General features: G+C 49.4%; 1 protein-coding gene across 6 annotated transcripts in view, besides 2 other annotated features; it reads left to right on the top strand.

The window, feature by feature from the left end:
• The window catches only part of SNTA1 (syntrophin alpha 1), a 35807-nt gene that overhangs the window by 15433 nt on the left and 7011 nt on the right, over positions 1-13363 (top strand). For all 6 annotated transcript variants that reach the window (NM_001424413.1, NM_003098.3, XM_011529008.2 and 3 more), the window contains exon 3: positions 10408-10612. In NM_001424413.1, the coding sequence (NP_001411342.1) occupies positions 10408-10612 (205 nt within the window). The remainder of the gene's footprint in view (positions 1-10407; positions 10613-13363) is intronic.
• Positions 2952-6513: an enhancer, noted in NCBI's record as "VISTA enhancer hs2173". NCBI's record gives its function as "enhancer in: heart[4/6]" and the evidence as "EXISTENCE:transgenic organism evidence [ECO:0001131][PMID:17130149]".
• Positions 8766-9266: an enhancer, noted in NCBI's record as "H3K27ac hESC enhancer chr20:32006871-32007371 (GRCh37/hg19 assembly coordinates)". NCBI's record gives its function as "activates a minimal SCP1, AML or CMV promoter by ChIP-STARR-seq in naive H9 embryonic stem cells {active_cell/tissue: H9 hESC(naive)}" and the evidence as "EXISTENCE:reporter gene assay evidence [ECO:0000049][PMID:30033119]".

Here is a 13363-nt window from a genome sequence, read left to right as displayed (position 1 = left end):
TTCAAGCGATCCTCCCATCTCAGCCTCCTGAATAGCTGGGACTACAGGTGCACACCACCACACCCAGCTAAATTTTTGTGCTTTTTGTGGAGATGGGATTTCGCCATGTTGCCCAGGCTGGTCTTGAACTACTGAGCTCAGGTGATCTGCCCACCATCGGCCTCCCAAAGTGCTGGGATTACACGTGTGAGCCACTGTGCCCGGCCCCTCATTCTTTTTAATGGTTATGTGGTGTCCCATTATTGGGCTGGAGGACTACACATCTGTAGTCCTATTTACTCCTGAAGCTGAGGTTGGAGGATTGTTTGAGGCCAGGAATTCGAGGCCGGAGTGCACTATGATGCACCTGTGAACAGCCACTGCACTCCAGCTTGGACAACATAGCAAGACCCCATGTCTACAAATTAAAAAAAAAAATCCCATGGATTTGTTTATTCATGTAACATATATTTACTGAGCCCCTGCTCTGTGCCAGGACTAGATGCAGGCACCAAGGATATAGCTATGAACAAGACTGAGTAGTGAGTGTCTGCCAGTCAGGGAGTTCACATCTTGTTTTTAGCAGCCCCTATTCATGAATATTCAAGTTGTCCCTAGCCTCTTGCAGGATGGACAATAGCGCTATAAGCCTTCTGTGCACCTGTGAGCACTCATCTGAAGGGTGGTTCCTGGAAGGGTTGCTGTTAGGTCAAAAGGGTCACATGCTTTTGGGATTTTGTATAGGTTGTAACCCCTGTACTACTCAAGGGTGTGGTAAGGTGAGATTTTATCCCCCAAAGTGTGGCAACCCCTGGGCTCTGCTGGTCATCCCTGTTATAGGGCCTGCCAGAGTCTGGGGACTATTTATAGTTCAGCCTTGCTAGACCAGCAAGACCTTAAAGGTCATCCCTTCCAGGGCCTGTTGGAATCCCAAGTCCTCTTCACACCATCCTGGGTGGATGGGTGGGCAGCTGGAACTTGAATCCTCAAGTTCAAGTTGAGGGTTGACATATCAGTGCCCATTATATAGGCAAAGAAACTGAGGCTCAGAGAGACCTTGCCTCATGCAAGTGATATTACGGGGCCTGGATTCAAATCCTTGTCTGCCTGTCACCACATTACATGCCTATCCCCTTATACTGTCACACTAGGAACAGCAGCAGAAATCATAACCACACTGCTATCTCCAGACAGCCCTGTTCTATGCCAGGCAGGAGAAGGTGCTTTACAGGTATTGAATCTTTCACTTATTTATTTATTTTTAAATTGGCTTTTTTTTTTTTTTTTTTGAGACAGGGTTTCTCTCTGTCACCCAGGCTAGAGTACAGTGGCACAATCACAGCTCACTTTAGCCTCAACCTCCTGGGCTCAAGTGATCCTCCCACCTCAGCCTCCTGAGTAGCTGGGATTATAGGTGTGCACCACCACACCTGGCTAATTTTGTGTATTTTTGGTAGAGACGGAGTTTTGCCATGTTGGCCAGGCTGCTCTTAAACTCCTGGGCTCAAGCGATCGTCCTGCCTTGAACTCCCAAAGTGCTCACAGGTGTGAGCCACTGAGCCCAGACAAATCTTTTTTTTTGTTTTTGTTTGTTTGTTTGAGATGTCTGTCACCCAGGCTGGAGTGCAATGTCACGATCTTGGCTCACTGCAACCTCTGCCTCCCGGGTTCAAGTGATTCTCCTGCCTCAGCCTCCCAAGTAGTTGGGATTACAGGTGTCTGCCACCATGCCTGACTAATTTTTGTATTTTTAGGAGAGACGAGGTTTCATCATGTTGGCCAGGCTGGTCTCGAACTCCTGACCTCAAGTGATCCGCCCGCCTCGGCCACCCAAAGTGCTGGGATTACAGGCATGAGCCACTGTGCCCAACCTGCAGCTGAATCTTTTTTTTTTTTTTTTGGAGAAGGAGTCTCGCTCTGTCACCCTGGCTGGAGTGCAGTGGGGCGATCCTGGCTCACTGCAACCTCTGCCTCCTGAGTTCAAGCGATTCTCCTGCCTCAGCCTCCCAAGTAGCTGGGATTACAGGCGTGTGCCACCACACCTGGCTAATTTTTTTGTATTTTTAGTAGAGACAGGGTTTCACCATGTTGGCCAGGCTGGTCTTGAACTCCTGCCCTCAGGTGATCTGCCCACCTCAGCCTCCCAAACTGCTGGGATTACAGGCGTGAGTCACTGCGCCTGGCCCAGCTGAATCTTTTAATACCCTTTAAAGTAGATATATTTTACTTCTATTTTTACTTTTATTTTTTTTTAATGTTTTATTGATTGATTGATTGAGACGGAGTCTTGCTCTGTCACGCAGGCTGGAGTGCCATGGTACGATCTTGGCTCACTGCAACCTCTGTCTCCCTGATTCAAGCGATTCTCCTGTCTCAGCCTCCCAAGTAGCTGGGATTATAGGCATGTACCACCATGCCTGGCTAATTTTTTTTTGTATTTTTAGTGGAGATAGGGTTTCACCATGTTGGCCAGGCTGGTCTCGAACTTCTGACCTCAGTTGATCTGCCCGCCTCGACCTCGCGAAGCACTGGGATTACAGGCGGGAGCCAGTGTGCCCGGCCCTTCCATTTTTAAAATAAGGAAACAGAGGCTCGCAGAGGTCAAGTCACTTGTTCAAGGTCACAGAGCAAGGACGTTATTACAAGCCTGCCTCACTCCAGGGCCCACTTTCTTTCTTTCCTTTTTGTTTTAGACAGGTTCTCACTGTGTGGCCCAGGCTGGAGTGCTGTGGCACAATCATGGCTCACTGCAACCTCTGCCTTCCAGGCTCAAGTAATTCTCCCATCTCAGCCTCCCTAGTAGGTAGGACTATAGCTGCACACTACCACACCTGGCTAATTTTTTGTATATTTAGTAGAGATGGGGTTTCGCTATGTTGCCCAAGCTGGTCTTGAACTCCTGGGCTCAAAAGATTCCCCCTGCCTCGGCCTCCCACAGTGCTGGAATTATAGGTGTGAGCCACCATGCCCGGCCCCAGACCCACTTTCAATGTTTTTGCTCCACACTGAGAAGCCCCAGGGCTTTCAGTGTTTATTCATCTAACACATTTTTTTCTTTTATTTACTTACGTACTTATTTATAGATACAGGGTCTTGTTCTGTCACCCAGGCCGGAGTGTAGTTGCATGATCATAGCAGCCTTGACCTCCCTGGCTCAAGTGATCCTCCCATCTCAGCCTCCTGAGTAGCTGGGGCTACAGGTGTGCTCTACCATGCCCGGCTAATTTTTTTTTTTTGAGATGGAGTCTCGCTCTGTCACCTAGGGTGGAGTGCAGTGGCGTGATCTCGGCTCACTGCAACCTCTGCTTCCTGGGTTCAAGCGATTCTCCTGCCTCAGCCTCCCGAGTGGCTGGGACTACAGGCGTGTGCCACCACTTCTGGCTAATTTGTTGTAGTTTTAGTAGAGACGGGGTTTCACCGTGTTAGTCAGGATGGTCTTAATCTCTTGACCTTGTGATCTGCCCGCGTCGGCCCCCCAAAGTGCTGGGATTACAGGCACGAGCCACTGTGCCCGGCCTAGTTTTTAAAAATTTTTTGTAGGCCAGGCACGGTGGCTCAAACCTGTAATCCCAGCACATTGGAGGTTGAGATGGGTGGGTTGCTTGAGCCCAGGAATTTGAGACTAACCTGGGCAACAAGACAAAACCCCATCTCTACAAAAAATAAAAAAATTAGCCAGGCATAATAACATGAGCCTCTGATCCCAGCTACTCGGAAGGCTGAGGTGGGAGGATCGCTTAAGCCTAGGAGGTCAAGACTGCAGTGAGCTGTGATCATACCACCGCACTCCAGCCTGGGTGAGAGTGAGTCCCTGTCTCAAAATTTTTTTTTTTTTAATTTTTTCAAGACAGGGTCTCCCTATGTCACCCAGGCTGGTTTCAAACTCCTGGGCTCAAGCAATCCTCCCACCTAAGGCTTCCAAAGTCCTGGGATTACAGGTGTGAGCCACTGTGCCTGGCCCAGATTTCTTTTACTGCTTACTTGGTATATGTCAAGTACTATTTTCTTTTTTTTTCTTTCTTTCTTTTTTTTTTTTTGAGATGGCGTTTCACTCTTGTTGCCCAGGCTGGAGTGCAATGGTACAATCTTGGCTCACTGCAACCTCTGCCTCCCACGTTCAAGCCACTCTCCTGCCTCAGCCTCCCAAGTAGTTGGGATTACAGGCATGCGCAACCACATCCAGCTAATTTTGTATTTTTAGTAGAGACAGGGTTTCACCATGTTGGTCAGGCTGGTCTCCAACTCCCGACCTCAGGTGATCCACTCGCCTCGGCCTCCCAAAGTGTTGGGAATACAGGTGTGAGCCACCGCGCCCGGCCGTCAGGTACTATTCTTGATGGTGAGGATACCCTAGTGAACTGGAAAACAGGGCAGCCCCTGCTCTCCGGGAACTGACATTCTGGTTAGGGGAGAAAGGCCATGGGCTAGTAAACAAATGGCTCTATCATCTAATTTCAAGCAGCGGTAAGTAAATGACCACCCACTGAACAGACAAGGAACAGCTTGAGCTTAGAGGACAGGCTTCCCTTCAGCCAGGACATTCAGTCACAGACATTTATTAAGCACTGGGATAAGTACTGGAGATCCTGTTGCCCAAACAGATGTGTTCCCTTCTCTCAGCAACGCATATGTGACCCCCAGTCCACTTATACTGGGCCTGATGAGTGATCCTGCCCTGTTTCTCTTCCATGTGTTTCCAGTGGAATCTATTCCTGGCTCTTTGGGGCCAGAGCCAGATCCTGGCTTCCCTCCTTGGCAGAGCTGGAGCTCCCTGGAAATTGGGGCCTCTGTTTATAGGTGCCTCAGCTTCCCTGAGGAGGAAGGGCCCATGTGTCACTGCTTATCAGGCTCCCAGGCCAGGGGCTTGGCTGGGGAGGGTGGGGGCACTGGCCGGGCCTATCTTTGGAGTCTCGAGAATGCTGGCCACAGGGCTGTGGTCGTGCCCTCAGCTCTCTAGGCCATAGGCTTTGGCAGCCCCACCCTGCCTTGTCGGGTGACTCAGGCAGAAATCAGAGAGGGGAGGAGGCCTCAGAGTTGGGCTATTTATGGCCACACTCCGGGGCCCCCAGGACCCCACCCCCACTCTGGGACAGGCCACTTGGTTTGTGAAATGCAAGCCCTGATTCTGGCATCAGCTGGTATGCTGTCCATTTATAGCATGTTCCTGTGGGAAAGGAGGGGGACCCAGATCTGGGATGGCTGGGCGAGCAGGGGATCTGGCAGTTTCTCTGGCTTCAAAGTTGACAAATGTTCATTTGCTGAGCATGTAGCGTATGAGATCTCTGCTGGATTCTGGGGACACAGAGAAGAGTCAGACCAGGTCCCTGCCCTCAAAGTGCTCTCAGCCTAGTTGGGGACACAGACCCTACACAGACAATCACAGGGGAGTGAGGCGTAGGGGACTGCGGAGGTGATGGGTGTGATGGATCCAGACTGAGCATCTGATCACCTCTTCTGAGGTGACCTCTGAGCTGGGCCTGTCTCCTGGGCTATGGCACCTCTTCCCTCCTGCTAAATGAGCCTGTCCTGCCCTGGCATTCATTTTTCCATTCACAGAACACTGATTCTGGGTTGGTTGGTTTGTTTGAAATGGGTCTTGCTCTGTTATCCAGGCTGACTATAGCCTCAACCTTCTGGGCTCAAGCAAGCCTCCCACCTTAGCCTCCCATCTCACCCTCCCAAGTACCTAGGACTACAGATGCACACCACCATGCCCAGCTAGTTTTTTGTATTTTTGGTAGAGACAGGGTTTTGCCATGTTGCCCAGGCTGCTCTCAAACTCCTAGGCTCAAGCGATCTGCCTGCCTCAGCCTCCCCAAGTGCTGGGACTACAGGCGTGAGCTACTGCCCAGCCAACTCTGGGTTTGAAGAGCAAGCCCAGTTTCTTTCTTTTTCTTTTCTTTTTTTTTTTTTGAGACAGAGTCTTGCTCTGTCGCCCAGGCTGGAGTGCAATGGCACGATCTCAGCTCACTGCAACTTCCACCTCCTGGGTTCAAGCGATTCTCCTGCCTCAGCCTCCTGAGTAGCTGGGACTATAGGTGCACGCCACCATGCCCGGCTAATTTTTGTAATTTTAGTAGAGACGAGGTTTCACCACGTTGGCCAAGATGGTCTCGATCTCCTGACCTCGTGATCCACCCGCCTCGGCCTCCCAAGTGCTGGGATTACAGGCGTGAGGCACTGTGCCCGGCAATTTCTTTTAGGAGTTCCCAGTTTTGTGGAGGAGACAACCCTAACACACAGAATCGGAGACCTAGGAAGTATGGGCAAGAAAGGCTGATAAGTGAGAAACACCTGCTTCTTGAGTCCTTAATACTCACCACATGCCTTACAACATTTTATTTAATCCTGACATCTCTCTGAGGCAGACTTTTTTTTTTTTTTTTTTTTTTTTGGAGACAGGGTCTTGCTCTGTCGCCCAGGCTGGAGTGCAGTGGCATAATCTTGGCTTACTGCAACCTCTGCCTCCTGGGCTCAAGCAATCCTCCCACCTCAGCCTCCCGAGTAGCTGGGACTACAGGCGCACACTACCATGCCTGGCTAATGTTTTGTGTTTTTGGTAGAGACAAGGTTTTGCTATGTTGCCCAACCTGGTCTTGAACTCCTGGGCTCAAGCAGTCTGCCTGCCTCGGGCTCCCAAAGTGCTGGGATTACAGGCGTGAGCCACCATGTCTGGCTGTAGTTATTAATCTTTTATTTTTATTATTTTATTATTTTTTATTTTTATTATTATTTTTTTGAGACGGAGTTTCACTCTTGTTGCCCAGGCTGGAGTGCAATGGCACAATCTTGGCTCACTGCAGCCTTTGCCTCCTGTGTTCAAGCAATTCTCCTGCCTCAGCCTCCTGAGTAGCTGGGATTACAGGTGTGCACTACCATGGCCTGGCTAATTTTTGTATTTTTAGTAGAGACAGGGTTTCGCCATGTTGGCCAGGTGGTCTTGAACTCCCAGCCTCAGGTGATCCTCCCGCCTCAGCCTCCCAAAGTGCTGGGATTACAGGCGTGAGCCACTGTGCCCAGCCCTATTCATCTTTTACTGACTAGCAGATTGAGGCCCAGAGAGGTAAATGACCTTGTCCATGGTTACACAGTTAGACAGTGCTGGAGCTGGAATTCAAATCCAAGAGCATCTGACTCCAGAGGGAATTGCATTTTCTTTCTTTCTCTTTTTTTTTTTTTTGAGACAGGGTATCACTCTGTTACCAGACTGGAGTGCAATGGCGTAATCATGGCTTGCTGCAGCCTCTGCTTGCTGGGTTCAAGCGATCCTCCTGCCTCAGCCTCTTGATTAGCTGGAATCACAGGCATGTGTCACCACACCTGGCTAATTTTTTTTTAAATTTTACTTTCTTTTTCTTTTTTTTTTTTGAGACGGGGTCTTGCTCTGTCCCTCAGGCTGGAGTGCAGTGGCGCAATCTTGGCTCACTGGAACCTCCGCCTCCCGGGTTCAAGCAATTCTCCTGCCTCAGCCTCCCAAGTAGCTGGGATTACAGGTGCCCACGACCACGCCCAGCTAATTTTTTTCTGTATTTTTAGTAAAGACAGGGTTTCACCATGTTGGCCAGGCTCGTCTCAAACTCCTGAGCTCAAGCGATCCACCCACTGTGGCCTACCAAAGTGCTGGGATTACAGACATGAGCCACCGCACAAGGCCGGGAACTGCATTTTCAATAGTGTGGAAGTTTGGAAGCTCATACAGCCTCTGAGTAGTTAGTGTGATTGGACCAGAGGGTGAGATTAGGGATATGGCAAGAAGTGAAGCCAGGGAGGAAGACAGGACCTGTGGGCAGGGCCCATGTCCTAGAGGGCATTGAAGTTAGGCAAAGGGTGCAGGGGAGGCAGAGCAGGGCTTTGAGCAGGACGTGGCCACTTGTAGCAAGGAGATGTAGCAGTTGCACCATTGGGGGCTGTATTTGTCAGGATGCTTTTGACTGCAAGTAACAGGAATCCAATTCAATGAGGTTTAAACATCAAAGAAAATGTGTTATCCTCCCGAACATCTTGAGACAGCATGGCTCCAGGGAAGATTAATTTAGGGGCTCATGGTATCATCGAAAACTCAGGTCTCTCCATCTTTCTGCTTCACCATCCTCAATGTGTGGATCCCAAACTTTGTGGTCAAAAAGTAGGCTGGGCACAGTGGTTCATGCCTGTAATCCCAGCACTTTTGGAGGCTGAGGCCGGCGGAGCACCTGAGGTCAGGAATTCAAGATCAGCCTGGCCAACATGGCGAAACCCCATCTCTACTAAAAATACAAAAATTAGCTGGGTGTGGTGGTACGCACCTGTAATCCCAGCTACTTGGGAGGCTGAGGCAGGAGATTCGCTTGAACCCGGGAGGCAGAGGTTGCAGTGAGCCAATACTGCACCATTGCACTCCAGCCTGGGCGACAGAGTGAGACTCTGTCACAAAAAAAAGAAAGAAAAAAAAAGTGGCTGTCGTTGCACTAGGAACAAGCTCCCTCCCAGCAACTTTGAAAGGCTAAAGGAGGAGAAAAGGAAGGCAGTGTTTTTTTCCTCACATCTCATTGGCCAGAACTGTATCATTTGCCCCTTTCTAAACCAATCACAAGCAAAAAGGATGGAATGATCATGATTTGATTTGACCAATCAAGATTCTCCCTCTAAGCTGGGGAGAAGCTGAGCCTCTAGGGCTCAGGGTTCTCTTAGCAAAGGAAAAAGAGGGGAGATGGTTTTTGGCTGTCAAGTAGGCTGTGATATGTCCCACTTCTGCTGCCCTTTGAGACATAATCCAATAGTCAGTCCTGGGGTAAGTCGTTGCTACAGTGATGATAAGTCATTTGAGTCCTAGTCCCCAAAAGTCAGACCCAGGCTTGCTTCTCCCAAAAAAACCTGACCCTGGTTTCTTTCAACATTGCTTCTATCCCAACCCCAATAGGGTTTGTAACTCCCTCTTATTTGCCTCCATTTGCTTTGAATCCTATCTGAGCCTCAGAGGCATCTCCTGCGACAGAAATAGCTTCTTATCTGGTTCTTCCAGGGAGGTGGGCCAAGAATTACTTCCTAACTCCTTCCTGGGCTGTCCACTCACAGGGCACGTTGGCTGGGCTTTGACTGCAGACGTCAGATAGCTAGCAAGCCAGATGGCCCTGGGAGCAGGTGTGGTTGAGAGCAGAGGAAGAGAGGCTGCCCACGGGCTAGCAGGCATCAGGCACCCACAGAGGGTATATCCTTGTTGGGAGAAGAGAGACAAGGTCTTGGGAAAGTCATCATTTTTTTTTTTTTGAGGCAGTCGCACTTCATCGTCCAGGCTGGAGTGCGCAATCTTGGCTCATTGCAACCTTTGCTTCCCATGTTCAAGTGATTCTCATGCCTCAGCCTCTCGAGTAGCTGGGATTACAGGCATGCACCACCCTGCCCAGCTAACCTTTGTATTATTAGTAGAGACAGGGTTTCACCTTGTTGGCCAGGGTGGTCTTGAACTCCTGACATCAAGTGATCCACACTGCCTTGGCCTCCCAAAGTGCTGGAATTACAGGCATGAGCCACCATGCCCAGCCTGGGAGTCTTTTTTTTTTTTTTTTTTTTTTTTTTTTTTGAGACAGAGTCTTGTTATGTCACCCAGGCTGGAGTACAGTGGCACAATCTTGGCTCACTGCAACCTCCTCCTCCCGGGTTCAAGTGATTCTCCTGCCTCAGCCTCCCCAGTAGCTGGGATTACAGGTGCGAGCCACCACGCCCGGCTAGCTTTTGTATTTTCAGTAGAGACGGGGTTTCACCATGTTGGTCAGGCTGGTTTCAAACTTTTGACCTCAAATGATCTGCCCGCCTTGGCCTCCCAAAGTGCTAGGATTACAGGCATGAGCCAACATGCCCAGCCTGGGAAAGTCTTGTAACCACCTTCTTGTATACACTGTCTAGGAGTTCAAGACCAGCAACATGGCGTGACCCCATCTCTACAAAAAATTAATAGCTGGGTGTGGTAGTGCGTACCTGTAGACCCAGCTACTTGGGGAGCTGAGGTGGGAGGATTGATTGATCTGGGAGATTGAGGCTGTAGCGAGCTGTGATCACACCATGGCACTCTAGTCTGGGTGACAGAGAGAAACTGTCTCAAAAAAAAAAAAAAAAAAGTCACATGGCCACACCTCACTGCAAAGGAGGCTGGGAAATAGAGTCTTTCTTCCAGGTGGCTGTATGTCTATTAACCATGGGGAAAATGAGAGAAGGGATATAGGCGGGCCCTATCTCTATATAGGGATAGAGAGAAGGGATACAGTATTTTCTGCTCCACTGCCCTGTCAGAGACTTTAACTTAGAAGAATTTGTTAATATCACTACTGGACTCTTGCTTACTAAGGGTCTAATAGTGACACGTAAATTAAACTCTTAATAAATTAGTGACAATTGTGATATGTGCTGGGAGCCCATGTCACAGTGGTGACTGCTGATGTCTCTCCCAATCAGTCAAGTATATGAAGGACGTCTCACCGTATTTCAAGAACTCTACTGGTGGGACCTCGGTCGGCTGGGACTCACCTCCTGCCTCACCCCTTCAGCGGCAGCCTTCCTCCCCTGGCCCCACACCCCGGAACTTCAGCGAGGCCAAACACATGTCCTTGAAGATGGCATATGTCTCGAAGAGGTGCACCCCCAATGACCCGGAGCCCAGGTAAGGCTGGGGTTGGGAGCAACTCAGATGGACAGATGCCCTGGCGTCAGGTGGTGGGACCAATGGAAAGACACCTCTGTGTTGTACGAATGACCAGCACAATGCCAGGACATAGTAGGTGCTTAAAAAATAGATTGACTGGAAGCCTGAGTGAAGCCATGGAGATGATGGTGTGCTTTGCTTCTCACTTCTTCCTCTGGGCAGCTCACATCTGGGGATGAACTTGGTCTGAGGAAGAACCCTGCGTTCCAGTCCTGGTCCTCTTTGAACTAGGCCCTTTTCCTCACTGACCTTTAGATTCTCCATTGTGAGATGAGGTTGTTGGACTCACTGATCCTCTCGTCTCTTCCCACTCTGCTGGAGCTCTGAGATGTCTGGTAACCTTTTTATCAGGGCCATGGAAGGTTACATCCTTCACATCTGAGCAGCCTTTAACAGTTCATTGATAATACTGAAACCACCTAACATTTACTGAGTGTTTACTGTGTACCCAGCACTGTGTTGAGTGCTTTCCCTGTGCAATATTATTTAGCTCTCACAGAGGCCCAATGGGCAAAGTCCTATTATTTCACCTCCATTTTATTTTATTTTATTATTATTTTTGAGCCAGAGTTTTGCTCTGTCGCCCAGGCTGGAGTGCAGTGGTGCAAAGATCTTGGCTCACTGCAATTTCTGCCTCCTGGGTTCAAGTGATTCTCCTGCCTTAGCCTCCTAAGTAGCTGGGACTACAGGCGCCCACCACCACACCTGGCTAACTTTTTTTTTTTTTTTTTTTTTTTTGACAGAGTCTCACTCTGTTGCCCAGGTTGGAGTGCAATGGCATGATCTTGGCTCACTGAAACCTCTGCCTTCCAGGTTCAAGCAATTCTCCTCCCTCAGCCTCCCAAGTAGCTGGGATTACGGGCGCCTGCCACCATGCCTGGCTAATTATTTGTATTTTTAGTAGAGACGGGATTCTCCATGTTGGTCAGGCTGGTCACGAACTCCTGACCTCAGGTGATTCCCCCGCCTCAGCCTCCCAAAGTGCTGGGATTATAGGTGTAAGCAACTGTGCCCTGCCTAACTTTTGTATTTTTTGTAGAGATGGGGTTCCACCATGTTGGCCACGCTGGTTTCGCACTGCTGACCTCAGGTGATCTGCCTGCCTCGGCCTCCCAAAGTGCTGGGATTACAGGCATGAGCCATCGTTCCCGGCTCACCTCCATTTTATAGATGAGGACAGAGAGGGGAAGTAACCTACTTGAGATCACACAACCAGAAAGGGTGGCACTTGCCTCAATCCTGGTAGTCCTTTCTGCTTTGGAAGGTGCAAGATACCTGAGTGATGGTGGTGGCTAAATGGAGCATATTTGGTCAAGTGGGATATGCATTGTTGGAGGTGATGCTTAACTGCTATATGCATTACAAGCTTGGGCTGTGGGTCCTAGTGACAGCCTAGGTTCAATGCCAAGCAAATGCCCAACATTGGCTGGGAGGGCTGGTTAACGTCCAGCATCCAAATCTCTTGGTCTCACTCGATGCCACACCTCTTGCCTGCCCCCATGAGGCAAAAACTGGTGATTCACAGGTCACTTGCCGATGCTCTAAAAAAGAGCCTTTGTTTTTGTTTTTGAGACGGAGTATCGCTCTGTTGCCCAGGCTGGAGTGCAGTGGTGTAATCTTGGCTCACTGCGGTCCCCTTCTCCCGGGTTCAAGCGATTCTCCTGCCTCAGACTTCTGAGTAGCTGGGATTACAGGCACCTGCCAACATGCCCAGCTAATTTTGTATTTTTATTAGAGATGGGGTTTCACCATGTTGGTCAGGCTGGTTTGGAACTCCTGACCTCAGGTGATCCGCCCACCTTGGCCTCCTGAAGTGCTAGGATTACAGGCATGAGCCATCGCCTGTATTTTTAATAGACTAATTTTTGTATTTTTTTTTTTTTTGGGACAGAGTCTTCTCTGTTGCCAGGCTGGATGGAGTGCAGTGGTACAATCTCAGCTCACTGCAACCTCCGCCTCCTAGGTTCAGGCAATTCTCCTGCCTCAGCCTCCTGAGTAGCTGGGACTACAGGTGCACGCCGCCATGCCTGACTAATTTTTTTTTTTTTTGTATTTTAGCAGAGACGGGGGTTCACCATGTTGCCCAGGCTGGTCTTGAACTCTTGAGCTCAGGCATTCTGCCTGCCTCGGCCTCCCAAAGTGCTAGGATTACAGGCATGAGCCACCGCGCCCGGCTGTATTTTTACTAGAGACAGGGTTTCACCACATTGGCCAGGCTGATCTCAAACTCCTGACCTCAAGATCCACCCACCTTGGGCTCCCAAAGTGCTGGGATTACAGGGGTGAGCCACCATGCCCGGCCCGGAAGGGCCTTCTGTGAGTGTGAAGGTGAAGTAGTATTAGTCCTTCTAGAGACTCATAGAACCTTAGATTCCCAGCCTGATCCCAGACATTACCTGAAACGTGTGTATATGTTTCTAAGTGTGCGCACGTGTAGATGACATGTAAATGCAAGTGCTTGTATGTATATATGAGAGCATTTGCATGTATGAGTATAGATTTGTACATGTGTGTTTGTTTATATGTTATTTGTATGTGTATGCACATATGTGTGTGCATGTGTGTTTTAACATGTACATGCCTGAGTACCTACATAGGTAACCTCAATATAACTGGGGTTCCATATGGCCCACTGTCAGTGCAGTATCCCAGTCATAGGGATACAGCCTGGCAACCAAAATATAATGAAAACTGCTTCAAACTTTTACT

The sequence above is a fragment of the Homo sapiens genome, chromosome 20 (assembly GCF_000001405.40).
Source record: "Homo sapiens chromosome 20, GRCh38.p14 Primary Assembly".
Taxonomy (NCBI): Eukaryota; Metazoa; Chordata; class Mammalia; order Primates; family Hominidae; genus Homo; species Homo sapiens.
Note: the sequence above shows the minus strand (reverse complement) of the source record. Positions and strands in the feature narration are given on the sequence as shown.